This window comes from Homo sapiens, chromosome 11 (genome assembly GCF_000001405.40).
Source record: "Homo sapiens chromosome 11, GRCh38.p14 Primary Assembly".
Lineage (NCBI taxonomy): Eukaryota > Metazoa > Chordata > Mammalia > Primates > Hominidae > Homo > Homo sapiens.
The window spans coordinates 30913465-30928306 of NC_000011.10; the positions used below are offsets into that span (position 1 = coordinate 30913465).

At 38.3% G+C, this 14842-nt stretch overlaps 1 protein-coding gene and 1 long non-coding RNA gene across 16 annotated transcripts in view; one reads left to right on the forward strand and one right to left on the reverse strand.

Moving 5' to 3' along the window:
• Nucleotides 1-8850, forward strand: part of LOC105376611 (uncharacterized) — a 32196-nt gene extending 23346 nt beyond the window's left edge. Inside the window, exon 5 of the long non-coding RNA XR_007062642.1 lies at nucleotides 7943-8850. This is a non-coding gene — a long non-coding RNA (uncharacterized LOC105376611). The remainder of the gene's footprint in view (nucleotides 1-7942) is intronic.
• Nucleotides 1-14842, reverse strand: part of DCDC1 (doublecortin domain containing 1) — a 506137-nt gene that overhangs the window by 49862 nt on the left and 441433 nt on the right. For 14 of the 15 annotated variants that reach the window (XM_024448478.2, XM_024448476.2, XM_024448477.2 and 11 more), the window contains 5 exons: nucleotides 11845-11944; nucleotides 9039-9174; nucleotides 7312-7471; nucleotides 3406-3564; nucleotides 2047-2247 (listed from right to left, as the gene is read on the reverse strand). In XM_024448478.2, the coding sequence (XP_024304246.1) occupies nucleotides 2047-2247; nucleotides 3406-3564; nucleotides 7312-7471; nucleotides 9039-9174; nucleotides 11845-11944 (756 nt within the window). The remainder of the gene's footprint in view (nucleotides 1-2046; nucleotides 2248-3405; nucleotides 3565-7311; nucleotides 7472-9038; nucleotides 9175-11844; nucleotides 11945-14842) is intronic. The other variant, XM_024448475.2, reaches the window with a different exon arrangement.

The following is a 14842-nucleotide window of genomic DNA, read 5'->3' on the forward strand; positions in this document are numbered from 1 at the left end:
GGACTTGTGCTTATCAGCAAATCTTGTCCCACTGGGCCCCCTGATGCTCCACCTCTTCTCTCTGGACTCTGACGTTTCCAATGACGGATCAACCAATATCACCATCTCCCTTCCACTAACTGCCTCTCTTTTCCGTGTCTTGACATGAGGAGCTCCCAAGATGACAAAAGTACAGAATGTTCTGCAAAGTGGGAGGAGATGGAAAGAAACTGTCCTTCTCTTCTGTGTTATACATGGTTAGATTTTCCAAGGCAGTGCTACACATGACCCAACATCTCATAGAGTTTTAGGCAGACAGACACTGAGCAAGATTCAGAACTAGTATTCTCTTCCAATGACCAAGTATTCCTGGGTCAAACTCATTATGCAATGGCTTTCTCTTGCCGTAGGGTCACATTCTCATTCCCCATGCATGTCCACCCAAATTTATCAGCCATGCTCAAATTGCAATTTAGGTTTAAGTGGGGACCTCTACTATAATACAGAAAGCCGAGGCAATAATATAAATTGCTAAATACAATGTAGAAATGAGGAAACACTAGGATGTCAGCTCCATAAGAGTAAAGATTTTTTATCTGTTTTGTTCTTTGTAAAGCAACAGCTCCTAAAACACTGCCCTCAATAACCCTTGGCAGTTGAATGAATGAATTCTGGTTCCATATGGCAAACCATTCACAGAAACAAAAGCCTGCTGTCCTACCTACACATTGCAAAGGCAGCTTAGCCCAGGTGAATGGGGCAAAGAAACACTTTCACCAGGTCTGTCTACACAATTGGTTTTCCCGTCTTTTCTAACATCAGCCCAGCGAGTTCTCCTTGCCGGAGGCTTTGCTCATCTCAGTGAGCAGAGTAAGACCAGCTCCTCTCCTGCCCAGGCAGGGCTCGCTGCTGCCGCCTGCTGAAGCTTGTGCAACCTCCCTCAAAGTACTGATTCATAAGCCTTTTCATCGCAGACCTTTTGAGAAGCCAGTGAAAATCTCAGCTCTTTCCCAGAAAAAATAAATTGCACGATGCACAAACATACACTTTGTACACTATTTCAAGAGATTAAAGAGGTCCCTGGAGGCCCACCATATCACACTAATGGTAGAATTTGAAGCAAACCAATCTAAAAAACAGGGAATTGTTTTCTTTTTTGTTCGATTAAAGAAATGTTCCATATGCACCCAAAAAAAAAAAAAAAAAAAAAGAGAGAGAGAGAGAAATGTGTAATCAACCAGCATGGACCTAACAGCCATCAACATTCTGCCATTCTCATTTCATCCATTCCCCTCAACTTTTAAAATTTTTATTTATGATAGAATGTCTTACAACAAATCTAAGATAGCTTTTAATTTTATCTGTAAATACTACAATGTTTCCAACTTATCAGGACTTTTTTTTTAACATTACCATTGAACCATTATTGGACCCAACAAAATTAATAGGACTTCCTTAATGTCATCAGATAGCCAAGCTGTTTTATATTTCTCCTGATTATCTCAAAAATAACTTTTTTACAGTACTGTAGTTGGTTCAAATTTGGATCCAGGACCAGACATTGAATTAGGTTGATATATTTGCTAAGATAGGAATTAGTTTATACTGCGTGAGTGGAAACCACAAACTGGTTATTTTATGAAGGTGGAGGAAAGAGGGAAGGTGTGTGTTGGGGGAAGGATGGGGAGTAAGTTAATGAAAAGTATCAAAAAATTTGAAAATTGGGGACGTTTTAGAATTCTTATTTGATCTATTCATTTCATAAAAATGACATTGATGCAAGTTCAGTCTTGAGCCCAATGGCCAGATAAAACTATACCCAGGAGATCAGAGGGAACATTCCTCCTCTGAATCTGATTGTGGATAAATTGTATGTAGCTTACCTAGCATTTACATTTGATTTTATTCCCTTCCTCTTCTTTGGCTAGGATAAAGAATTATCAGCTAAGTTAAATAGAAGACCCAGAATTCTCAGATATAGTTCATCTTGTTCTGTGGGGACCATGCTAGACTTATTAGGATCCTATTCACCTTTTGATATAGTAAACCCAAATATAATGGGATTACCTGCTGTCTTCCTGGTGTATCCAGCGCTGATGACTACCATCAGATTTCTTCTCCACCAAAACCACCTCCATGCCTGATCGGAGATTGGGACCTTGAACCCCCAAGACTAGCTGAGGAGCAGCATGGCTTATAATCTGCCCATCTCTGTATTCGAACTGCTGATGACAATGCTTGTGCAATTTACTATGCTTTGGTGAACAGCTGAGATAAAGAAATCTCTATTAGTGGCAGAAAAATGTCCCATGCACTTGATCATGCACTTGATGTGCTGGAGATTATAAGTTCTGTTGGTGAGAGCTCCAACGTGAAACACGTTAACTTGAAATGATAGACCATATCATTAGAATGACGGCAATGCTACCAGCACTGCACTTCTAAGCTGACATAAGAAGTAGAATTCTGAGCTTATTTTGTAACATAAATAAATGTTTACCAGGAGAATATTTGAAAAATTCGTTAGCAAAGAAAAAAGAACTTCAGTTGACAAGGTAATTTAAAGAGGAAAAAGTAAAATTTAAAATTAAGTAAGAGAATGGGGGCAGGGGCATGTAGAATAAAAACAGAGAAATAAAGGAATTCTATTCAAACTATGATTGTTTCTTTCCTCTATCTACAGTATCCCTGGAAACAGAACACCATTCTCCAAGTTTTTAACTCACCTCTAACAAGTCATAGCATATCATAAAATAATGATGCACTAATAATTTAAATGACTGTCTTAAGGACCTTACATTAAGCAGAAGTAACATATTACATATCACAACACATTGTCAATTAAATTAATCTATAAACATCTATTAAGCCCCTACTACGTGCATGGCCTAGTGCTAAATGTTGAAGTGTCAAAAATGTTTAATTCATGTGTTCCAGTGACTGCTGTAATGTCAAGTAAATGTCTAAAGATTATGAAATAATACAAAGTACTATATATTCCTGTCATTTCATTGGACATTGACAAAAAACATTAAACTAAAAAGGAAGAAACTGCATTTTCTTAATTTCTTAAAAACATTAGGGCATCTTAAATGCTTATTCAGAAGTTCACTCACACATTCATTCAACAAATATATAGGCTCTGTGCTAAGTTGTCAGGAGGCAAAGGTGGATAAGCATACTGTTTAATAGAAAAAAACACACAAATGAGTAAGATATTATACACTGAACAAAATAAACCAAAGAGTAAAGGACCTTCCCGCAAAATTTTGTAAATATTTTAATCAAAAACATAAGACAAAAATGTGCATGTTGATAGAAACAGCAGCTAACAGCAGTGAAAACTCTTGGGAATATATGTGTCCCAAGGTGAGAAAACTAACACTAGACAGAAATCTTTAAGAGGAATCCTTTGCAACTTTTTACCTGTGTTTCTTCTGTGGTTCCACATTTTCAAAGAGCCCTTTTTCCGTTTTCTTTGGAAGACTGTCATCCTCATCAAAGTCATGTGAAGTTTCCTGCCAGGCATACCTGGGAAGTGTGTGACAAGCCTTCATTCGAAGATGAGCTCTTACGTGTGAATCTCTATCAAGGTTCAGAAGCAAACATAAGTCTAAGAAATCTCATTCGTGTTCACAGAATTTTTTTCTGAGGTGTAGTCTGATCATATTCCACAGGATGTTGGTGGATCTATAAATCTTATTTCCATAAGGGTGCCTAATACTGGAAATTCACATCTCACTAATACATCATTTAGATCTTTTAATATAAGGCTACAAATAAAATTCCTCAATCACATAATAAACAGCATTCATCTTTGTCATGTTTACTCAGAAAAAAATGGGACTATGTATTGTATTTCAAAAATCATAAAGATTGACTACTCAGTAGTTTGAGAAATTCACAATGAACATGTAATGAGACTCCCTCTCTCTACCCCATAATTGGGTCATAATTCTGACTGGAACAGTACAGCCTAGATTACCCGGTTTTGTAAAGTTTACTCATTAGACAAGGTTAAGAAACCTTAACTTTTCCAAGATTTCTCCACAGAGAAATCTAGAGAAACTCAAATAGCATCTGCACATATGAGCCAGCTTTTGATAGAGAATAATATACTAAACAGAGTAAATAGTCATAGTTTGAATAATTGAGTCAGCCTTCTGGCTTCTTACTAAAATGAAGATATAAAGGGGATCAGTAGCCGCCATATAGATCTGTATATATAAAGTTCCAGGCCACTGTTGAGAGCACATTTGCCTTCAGTGGGATTGTGATATGAGGACTGCTTGACTGAGGAAGGATAAATATACAGGCAAAGCAGCAAGCCTATTTCAGCACTCTAAGTATGCGTACCTGTAAATAAAGTTCTCTGGGACAGACTGATCACCAAGGTGCTTGTCATAATTTGATGTAACTACAAGCATTATTAAATTACCAAAATCTTCAGGGACAATTCCTGTGCTAGCAGAGCTGACCGTACTCTTTTCAAATGTAATAGAAGTATTACATGTGGATATGAAACTGGTGGGTAATCACTGCCTCATTCAGAACTACAGGCAGCACAAGCGGCTTCTGAAGGCAAACCTCTCCCTTTACAGTTAAAAAAAACAACAGCGCCATCTTGTGTTAAAAATAAAACGCACAGCTTTCTCATCAATTCCATTTCTTTGGGGAAAAGGAAAAAAAAAAAAGTCATTCTTAGTTTTAACAAAGTTAGCAGGATGCAAACAAGATTCTTCACCCAAATCCAGATGTTTAACTTTCTTACTCAGAATTTCTCTATCAGCTCTTGAACTTCCTGGCAAATGAGGTATAGTCAAGTCAGTTTTAGAACAGTCATTTTTCAGTCCATCTTGCTTTATTAATTTGTTCATTCATAGAACAAACCATTCGTTAGTTATTCACTCCTTTAATCAATATTTATTGAACATCTACAAGACAGGTAAGTTATCAGTGCTCACGGAGTTTACATTCTAGTGGGAAGAGGAGAGATTAAATAGACAAGTAAATGAATAAACAAGATAAATGCCATAAGTTGAATAAAATAGGATATTGTAATGGAAATTGACTGGGATGGGGTAAGGTTTACGTTAGCAATGGAGTCAAAGAAGGTTTCTCTGAGAGGTGATGTTTGAATTGAGACAAAGACAATAGAAAGGGGCCAGCCATGTAAGGATCTAGAGGGAGAGCATTCCAAGCAGAGAAAAGAACAAATGAAAAGGCTATGAAGCAAGATTATGGTTAGCCCACTTGAAGAACAGAAAGACAGTGGTGTGACAGGTATGCAGTGAGTGAGGGGATGGTAGTTCTAGACAAGGCTGAAGAGGTGGGCAGGTACCTGTGATTCAGTGAGGAAATGAGAAAGTTTCCCCCACTCTCTGTGTTCCAAAAATCTTTTTTTCCTGCAAAGCACAGAGTAGGCAAGTGCTACTAGAATTTCTTTTCCATTTTTCTTATTGTTTGTGCCGGACACCTTTATGATAAAAAAGCAATCAAAAAGGATCCTTCTAGATTGATGTTCTAGCTGCTGGCTTTATGCATGTCCCTCCTTAAATCATCCCATTTTTCAAATATGCAAAAAACTCCAAACAAGCACATTTAAGAAAGTCTGGGAAAAATCTTACAGTGACTTCCTGATATTAGATGATTTAGGATTATTTCAGGATCATGTCATCAGAAATGGTTCAAATGACTAGTGACAGCCTGGAAAATAGATAACCCTGTATATTAAAAAATATTTCCAATAGTTTAAGGGCTGCCAAGTAGAAGAGGTATAGGGCATAGTACAGAGAAACATATGGAATAATAAGATGGAGATGGTCTAAATAATTATTTAAATGTTAGAATGGGCCTCCTTGAAAACAGTGATCTCTCTGTTATTAGGAGTATTCAAGAAGAGGCTTGAGCAAAAGAGCCTGCTTGGAATATGCAGTAGATGCCTGCATTGTACTCTGAGAGAACCCAATCACTTTTAACCTCAAGGACTCCAGGCCTTCATGAAATCTCTGATTCAGAACAATGACGATCTTTGCTCTCAAAAATGTTTCTTTTTTCTTACTTTCTGTTTATTTTTTTCCAAGTGCAGACTAAGAGGCTAGATGACACATTCTTTAGAAGGGGATGTGAAAGTTCGTGGTCAATTCCCTGACTGTTGAGAAAGATGCCATCTAGGACCAATCATTCTCTCTGAAAAATGCCTTCTGGTGCCTTTGTTAGTGTCAGTCATAGGACCAACTGAATCACCCATCCAAATGAGGAAGTTTGGTTCCTAAAATAAACGTTCATATTCTTATAATTGAGGATAGAAACAATTAATAACAATGATATATAAATTAGTTTCACAATTATTGCAGAGGTAATTGGCCAGGTATTTTTGGTTTTATAATTTGGAAACACATTCAATCTTTCATTCATTTATTCAGTAAATGATAATTAGAACCCATGTGACAGAATCTTTGCCCTCAACGTTCCCAGGCTGGTAGAGGGAGGGGTAGGCAAGGGGGAGAGGGACTGACAAGCACATTGCCACGTACAGTCATTGCTGTAATTGACTTCAATGCTAAAGTATCATTCTACAGATAAGTACGGGGCAAGTAAAGGCACTGCAGTGGAGAGAAATTCATATGTGGCTCAGAGGTCTGCAACAGAACATAAACAGAATGTGCAATATGCAGGCGACAGCTTGTCGTTGCTGAGCTGGAGGTTGGAATTCATGTGGCAGAAAGAGACAGTGGGCATGGGAATGCAAATGAGGGTCAATGACAGGCATGAACCAGGGTCAGAAGGCCTTGGGATTCCAGATGAATAGGTTTTTCTGTCTGCAATAGGTACCCTTAAAAAACTATGTGAAAAGGATTGTACATTAGAAAGTTAATTGTCTACAGTTTAACTTAGAGGGGAATTGGAAGGAAGATATTACGGCAATAGAGAGAAATCAGAAAGCTATTTCAATGATCCAGAAAGATAACTGTATATTAACATGTGTCAACTTGAACTTAGGGAAGAAGTTTAATTTATCCTGAAGTCAATGATTATGGAAACAAAATTTGATGAATTCCTCAAATAAATGCCTACTATCCTAAAATTCTAGCCTCTTAAAAATAATAACATTGTAACAATATTACTGAAAATAGATCACTGTGATGGTTGAACATCGAAGCTGTAGTTGTATCATTTTGCCGGAAAACTAATTAAATACTAGCTCTTCAGCTGCCATTAGTTTCACAAACTTGGCATGAGCTCCCTGCATGGGCTCTGTGCTGTTATCGGGCTAATGAGCTGAGTTCAAAAAGCAGCCAGGTAGCTTTTCAGGCTACACTGATTACTTACAGAATTTCACTGGAAGCATTTTCCGTTGTTAGAGGATCTTCTTGCATTTGCTTTTCTTCCGGTTCTGTAACTTGCTTCTCTTCTCCAAAAATTGCTACAGGTTTATGCACAGCAAGCTTGCTTCCAGATACAATGTCACTTTGGACTTCTAAAACAAGAGCTGAGCAGAAATTCACAAATTGCAAAGACATATTACTTACAATTGCAGAGCATCAGGAATTTAAAAACACACACTAAAATACAAATGCAAAATAATTCCATCTATTTGGTCTATTCATAGGTTACTTATTAAACTCAGTTGAATTTAATTTTAATTTTTATAGATTCTTTACTCTCAAGATATTCTTAGTCAAAAATACTAAAAATTGGTCTTTCCAAAGATCAGTTAATTATCATATATCGTAATTATTCAAATGGGCTACATTATTTAGATATATGTTTCTAGATCATTCTCTGGGATCCAAAACTCATCAGTGGAAGTCCCAGTCCCAGTCCCAGAGAAAGCCTTGAATGACACATGCAAAGTTTTACTACACGGTGTTCAATATATATAATAGGGCAATGTTTTAAATTATACTAATTTTTTTTCTTTTTCTTTTCTCTATATGGACTTTTGTCCTGGTTCCTGGAGAAAACTTAATGGAAGGAGGAAGATCATGAGGAAATTAGAACTTTTATAAAAGAAAAGCAAAAGTCCAAAGATAGTTTTTGACATTCAAACAGCATACTGCCATCGAACGTGGAAGTCAGGATGACACAGTCATGATCTATGGTTTCTCCAAAAGCCTGTAGCTCCCACTTACTGTATCAAGAGTTTAACTTCAGGATTGACCTGGAGAAAAACCATCACTCCTGGGCCAGAGGGGATCTGGGGCACAAGACAGAGAAAGCCAGAAAACTAGCACAGCATGTCTTGATTCTCTCTACAGGCTTCACTTTGGGTATCTTAGTTAAACTGGGGAAACAGTGAGGACACTGCCCATTGTCCCCTTTTGAGCTACCCTTGCTACTCCAATCTGAGGCACAGCCAGCCACGTGAACTGGGATCTGGTTTCTGGGAGGTGCAGCTAAGACCCAGGAGTTGCTGAGAATCTTTTTGGGGAGCTTTCCAAAAGTGGATGCCAAGCAGGGGTGAGGTGGCTCTGTAGCAAGGACTGCAGAGGTGATGAGATGACCACTCAGTCATAGTCAGGCTCCAGAGGGCCACAGGAAGCAGAGAGAAGGCTGAATCAGGGAGGTAGCACACCCACCCAGAGTATCGTCTGAACCAACAGAAGGAACCATAAGTCACTCCAGTCATCGACTTCAGACAGTAGAGCCCAGGAAGCAAGAAGATCTGCAACCCAAGTGCTTTTTTTCTATCTTAGAGTGGAACTTAACGTGAGATTCTGGAGATAGAGAAATCTGAAAGCTCTCCCTAAAGGGACTAATTAAATTAATGGATGGAACAAAATGTAAACATGATTAGAGAATGCATAAGGCTCACAAAGAAGGTCAGATCTGTTAATGACAAAATAAAAAGATGATGTTCTCTTTGCACATTCAAACTGTAGTGTGAACTAAAATACTCAACCCTGTCAAACACATAATTTAGTTTAAAGAGTTAAACAGCAAGATGCAGAGGTGAAATATTACTTGTTTAAACAAACTTTGACTTTTTAAAAAGCAATATCATCAAGCATTTCATTTTGGCTGAATATATTAAGGTAAATAATTCCAATGCTTACCTTCTATTTTATGTGTGCTGCAGAAGATTTGAATTTTGGCAATGTCTGATTCTAGGTTCCTCAGGAATATTTGTTTCTTTTGCTGAGCAATGGACAGGTCAGGATTGATCCAGAGTTCTCCACATGAAACATACACCTATCAAACAAAGCATCTCTTATCCTGTATATAATTGTCACAGCAGCATTATCTGTAATAATCTAAACTGGAAACAATTAAAAAAATCAAAATGTCCTATTAATATAATAGGTGAATGATTAAAGAAAACTGTGTACCACTCAGTACTTTCAAAAAAATCAAACTGCTGATAAAGGCAACAACTTTGATGAATTTCAAGAGTTTTGTATTAAGTGAAAATACTATCTTTGTATATTACCATATTATTTTTGCAACATCCTGTGAATCTATAATTATTTCAAAATTAAAGTTTAAAAAATAATTGTTTAAGAAGAAGAGGGAAGGAAGGAAGAAAAGAGGAAGGGAGTGAGGGAGGGAAGGAGGTGGGAAAGAAGGGAGCAAGGGAGGGAGGGAGGGAGAGACGGAGGAAGGTAGGAAAGAAGGAAGGAAGGAGTAAATTACAGATTGGCAAAATTAGAGATTGGCGAACTATCCCTAAAACCCAAATCTGGTCCCCTGCCTGTTTTTGTGAGTAGAGTTTTATTAGAACACAGCTATTCCCATTCATTTACACGTTGTCTATGGCTGCTTTCATGCATCAGGAGCAGAGCTGATGCACAGCAGGCACCATATGGCCCACAAAACCTACAATATCTACTATCTCATTCTTTACAGAAAACATTTAATGACCCCTGGTATAAATGAATTTGTAGTACAAACACCAAAATGTCAATGTGGCTATTGCCAGGTGACAAGATTATGGATAATACTTTTCCTCTTCTCCTTTTTTTTTTTTTTTTGCTTATATGTATTTCTTAAATGTCCTTAAATGGATAAATATTTCTTTAAAGATGAGAAAAGAAAGTGATATATTGAGAAAGGCTCAGTAAGAAGAAAGAGAACCTCAGTGCTGCCTTTTCTGATCATTGCAAAGTCATTATTACAAACATTCGACATTTTGTGTATGAAGACCCAGGGGAAACTTTAAATAATAATAATAATAATTATTATTATTATTTGAGATGGAGTCTCACTCTGTAGCCCAAGCTGGAGTGCAGTGGCATGCTTTCGGCTCACTGCAACCTCTGCCTCCAGGGCTCGTGATTCTCGTGCCTCAGCCTCCTGAGTAGCTGGGATTACAGGCACCTGCCACCATGCCCAGCTAATTTTTTGTATTCTAGTAGAGGCAGGGTTTCGCCACGTTGCTCAGGGTAGTCTTGAACTCTTAAGCTCAGGTGATCCACCCACCTCGGCCTCCCAAAGTGCTGGGATTACAGGTATGAGCCACTGCACCCAGGCAAAAATTTCTTATTTTGAACAACGGATTTCTTTTTCTCTTTTGGACATATTTAATCATGTAACTAACTGTTTATGTTTCCATCTTCATGTTACTCTTCAGAGCAGTGACAGATTAGTTTCTAGCAAATATACAATCACTCCTGGCTCCATCTTATCCTCCTTCCACTCATACCTGCTTTGCCATGGTGGCCTCATCTATACTTACCATTAAATTAACTTTTTGTATTGTATGATTTAATGTAATCTACCTTAAATTCATTCTCTAAAAAACCCACAGTGAATAGCACAGCAGACCAAACAAAAACACTAAAAGCAAACAAACAAAACACTTGGAGAGATGGCATTAGGATTCAAAATGAGATCTAGCAGTCTCTGAGAACAACAGACTCTCCACCCTGCGATTCTGCCTCTGATGTTGGCCATTGATACTTCTGTTTAAGACTCTCTCCAGTATTTAGGTTCAGGGCCTCAGTTGAGTTCTGACGAAATGGTAGAAGCTTTGTTCTCTGTTCAAAGAATTGTAGGCATCAATCAAGGAAGGTATCTTTTTTTTTAATTTTTCAAACCAATGCCTCAAATTCTATAAATGAGGGGGAAGGCTGGGCTGCTAAAGTCCTTCCACTTTTCAGCCTTCTCCAGTCACCAAATAGAGTGTATGAAAAAAGTAGACATAATTTTGTCCTGAAAAAGTGAAATTACCATTTAGTAAAAAACCATTAAACAACTACATTTTGAAGGTCTCAAAAAGAGTAGAGAATTTACCTCCTTCAGAGCAGGAGATAGAAATTACAAAGGATTAACAATTTGGCCTTCTCCAGTTTCTTCCTTAATTTCTAGAGTCTAGGATCATGATGAACATTAAGTAGATTAATTCGGCCGGGCGCGGTGGCCCACACCTGTAATCCCACCACTTTGGGAGGCTGAGGCAGGTGGATCACCTGAGCTCAGGAGTGTGAGACCAGCCTGAGCAACATGTTGAAATCCATCTCTACCGAAAATACAAAAAATCAGCTAGGCATAGTGGCACATGCCTATAATCCCAGCTACTCTGGAGGCTGAGGTGGAAGAATTGCTTGAGCATGGGAGGCAGAGGTTGCAGTGAGCCAAGACTGCGCCACTGCACTCCAGCCTGGGTATCAGAGTGAAACTCCATCTCAAAAAAAAAAAAAAAGTTTAATTTATATACCACTCTGAAAACCATGCCAGACATATAGGAAGCTCTGAATAATGTTAGCTGTTAGTATTACTTTCTGATGTTTGCTCAGTTAGGATAATTCTGAGAGAAAATAAGAATTAAAATGGTAAGCATTTGAAGACTTATATTTAAGGGGATTCTTTCTTGGATGGGGTATTAATAAATTAATATTGCCAGTTTCAAATCCATGTCTTTACCAGTTCATCTCTTTGCAGGTCTTTTAAGGCAAATATTTCCTTCCCCTTTTCATTGTACAATCTCCGAGCTGCAGAAGGTAAATTTAAAATCTCAGTGCACCTGTAATAAAAGACACAAAAATTGACCTTGCATACAGAAAGCTTCCAGCAGCAAAGAGAGAAAATAAAAGAAATCTGGGGCCTGAATCCATAATGACAACTCTCTCTGCAGGACTGTTAGTCATGAGCTGGACTCTGGGGCCCATCAGACCCATTTGAGTCTCATTTTCCTCTCCAAATTGTGGCACTTGGGCAAATTATTTAACCTGTCTAAGGCTAGATTTCTTACCTTCCAGGGTTTCTGTGAAGATTAAAGGTTGATTTTGAAAAGAGCTCTTAGCACAGTCCCAGACATGACCAATAAATAGCTAGACACACTGCTATTGACTTTTAGTTCCTTGGTATGCCCCACACTTTTCTATTTCTGTGCCTGCGTTCTTTCTCCTACCTAAAAAAATTTTTCCTTGGCTTTTTCTGATGTAGTCTTGTTCTTTCTCCAAGGTTGTCAAAGTCTAATTTGTCACCAAGTTCCTCAGCTCCCTCCACCAGAGGGTAGTCTGTTTCAACTACCTTTGAAACAGACGTTTTTAGCCTGGTTAAACACTGAACACTGATTTCCCACTCCCACAACCCCCTGCCTTCCCAAACAAGCACCGGACAAGCCCTGTGGATATTGAGATGATGACAGTTTTGTAGTTCCCTGAGGAGCTCCGAGTCTGGTCAGGGTAGAGAAAGGTGAGCAATTGAAGTGTAATATGAAGTCGTAGGTGCTGCCATAGGCACCTGCCCAGCGTGCTGTGAGAACAGAGGGGAAAACAATTTTTCCAGAGAAGCCTTATCTAAGGGAGTGGCATTTGGGTTGGGTTTTAAAGGATAAACAGGATTTCATCAAAAAGCGCTAGACTGGAGCTGAGTGTATGGACATGAGGAGGGTATGGACCAGATGAAACTGAAAAAGAAAACAGAAACCAACTGAAAGTACTTAGGATTCTAGACTGAGGAACCTGCCTTCTAGCCCATAAGCAGCAGAAAGCCATTGAAGGCATTAGAGCAGATATGTGGTGTTATCAGGTCTGCTTTTCCGAAAGTTAACTGTCAGAAAGGTGGAAAATGGGCTGGAGGTGGGAGAGGCTGGAGCCTAGACAGCAAGCTTTAGGACAGATGTAAATAGATGGAATTGTGAGGAAAAAGTAGAGCTACAGGAGACTGATGGAGCATTTTCTAAACAATACTGTGAGGATATCCCGCCTATGGAAGAAGTAGAAGATTCTTGCTAAATATATTTTGTGTTAGAATATAATCTTTACATTCTAATACAAAATTACATAAAGTTGACTTTATGCTCATCATCAAGACATAGCTTTATAAAGAATGTTTCTAAATTTTATATCCTCAATGGGATAAAGCAATTAAACAGATAATCAGGCCCTCCATTTCTCTAAGGTTAGCTTAGAAGTAAATAAAACAGGCTGGGTATGGTGGTCCATGCCAGTAATCCCAGCACTTGGGGAGGTCAAGATAGGAGGACCACTTGAGGCCAGGAGTTCAAGATCAGCCTGGGCAACATAGCAAGATCCCTATTTTTAAAGAAAGGAGCTATGCCTCCCAGATCCACAGTCAGCTACAGCTCCACAGCAGTGGAGCTCTTAAGCTAATCACTTGCCAGGACACCCCACCCCAGGAGCTGTTCTACACTCTTTCAGTTCTTTCCAAACCGTAACAAAACCTTTGAGAAGCTATGGTCATGTGCTTTCTCCTTTTCTTTATCTTCTTGCTTTGGATTTTTGTCTCATTTTCTTTCTTCTCCCTGTGGCCTTCTCCGACAGCTGCCCCTTACAATGTTCTCTCTCTTTCCTGGTTATATATAAACCAGGAAATATATCATCATGTAATGATCCCTTGATTATTTTCAATTCTGTATGGTTAAATACTGCTGCATGTGGCTTTCTGATTGTTTCACTAAGCAAATTTTCTTCCCCAAAAGTTAGTTGGGAGTTCCTTGAGAGCAAGCAATGCCTTGTTCTAAAAAAAAGAAAAAAAGAAAGAAAGAAAAGAAAAAAGAAAAGAAGAAGAAAGAAAAACACCAAAAACCTCCAGCAGAACATCCTACACCGGTTGATGTTACATAATATAAATACAACAGATGACTGTTAACAGTTGAGGAAAACAAGCCTTGGAGAAGGACAGGGCTTTGCTGAAGACTTCCAGCTAGTTAGTGGCAATGCTGGGGTTAAAATCAATTCCTTTGCCTCCTAATCCAGTGGTCTTTCCAATATTCTATGTTGCCAGCAACTTTACAGAAAGTAGAAGGTACCAACAACAACAAAAGTTCTGTATCTATTATTCTAAAATGGAACTTATTATACTATTAGATCATACCTCAGTTTTGTACATGGAAAAATCAACAACAACAAAGAGAACCTCAAAATTGTCTAGAGTGAATTATTAAATAACCAAAGATAGCATAATTTTCCTTAAACTCAATAAAACTATTCCCTCATATTTGACAAGGCATACTTTGCAAAAAAGTTCATACCAAGTGCTCCAACCTTTCAGCAGTGATCTAATTCTTGATTTGGTAAAAAAATACTGATTAAAAAAAATTACAACATATTTCATAAACATAATATACGTTAGTGGTATGGTTTAGATGTTTGTCCTCTGCAAACCTCATATTGAAATTTGATCTCCAATGATGGAGATGAGGCCTAATGAGAGGTGTTTGAGTCATGATAGAAGATCCCTCATAAATAGATTAATGCCCCCCCTTGGAAATGAGTGAATTCTCATTCTATTAGTTATTTCAGAGCTGATTGTTAAAAAGATGCTGGCACCTTCCCCCTCTCTCTTACTTCTTCTCCTCTATGTAGTCTCTGCATTTGCCGGCTCCTCTTCACCTTCTGCCATGAGTGGAAGCTGCCTGAAGCCCTCACCAGATGCAGATGCCCAATCTTGAACT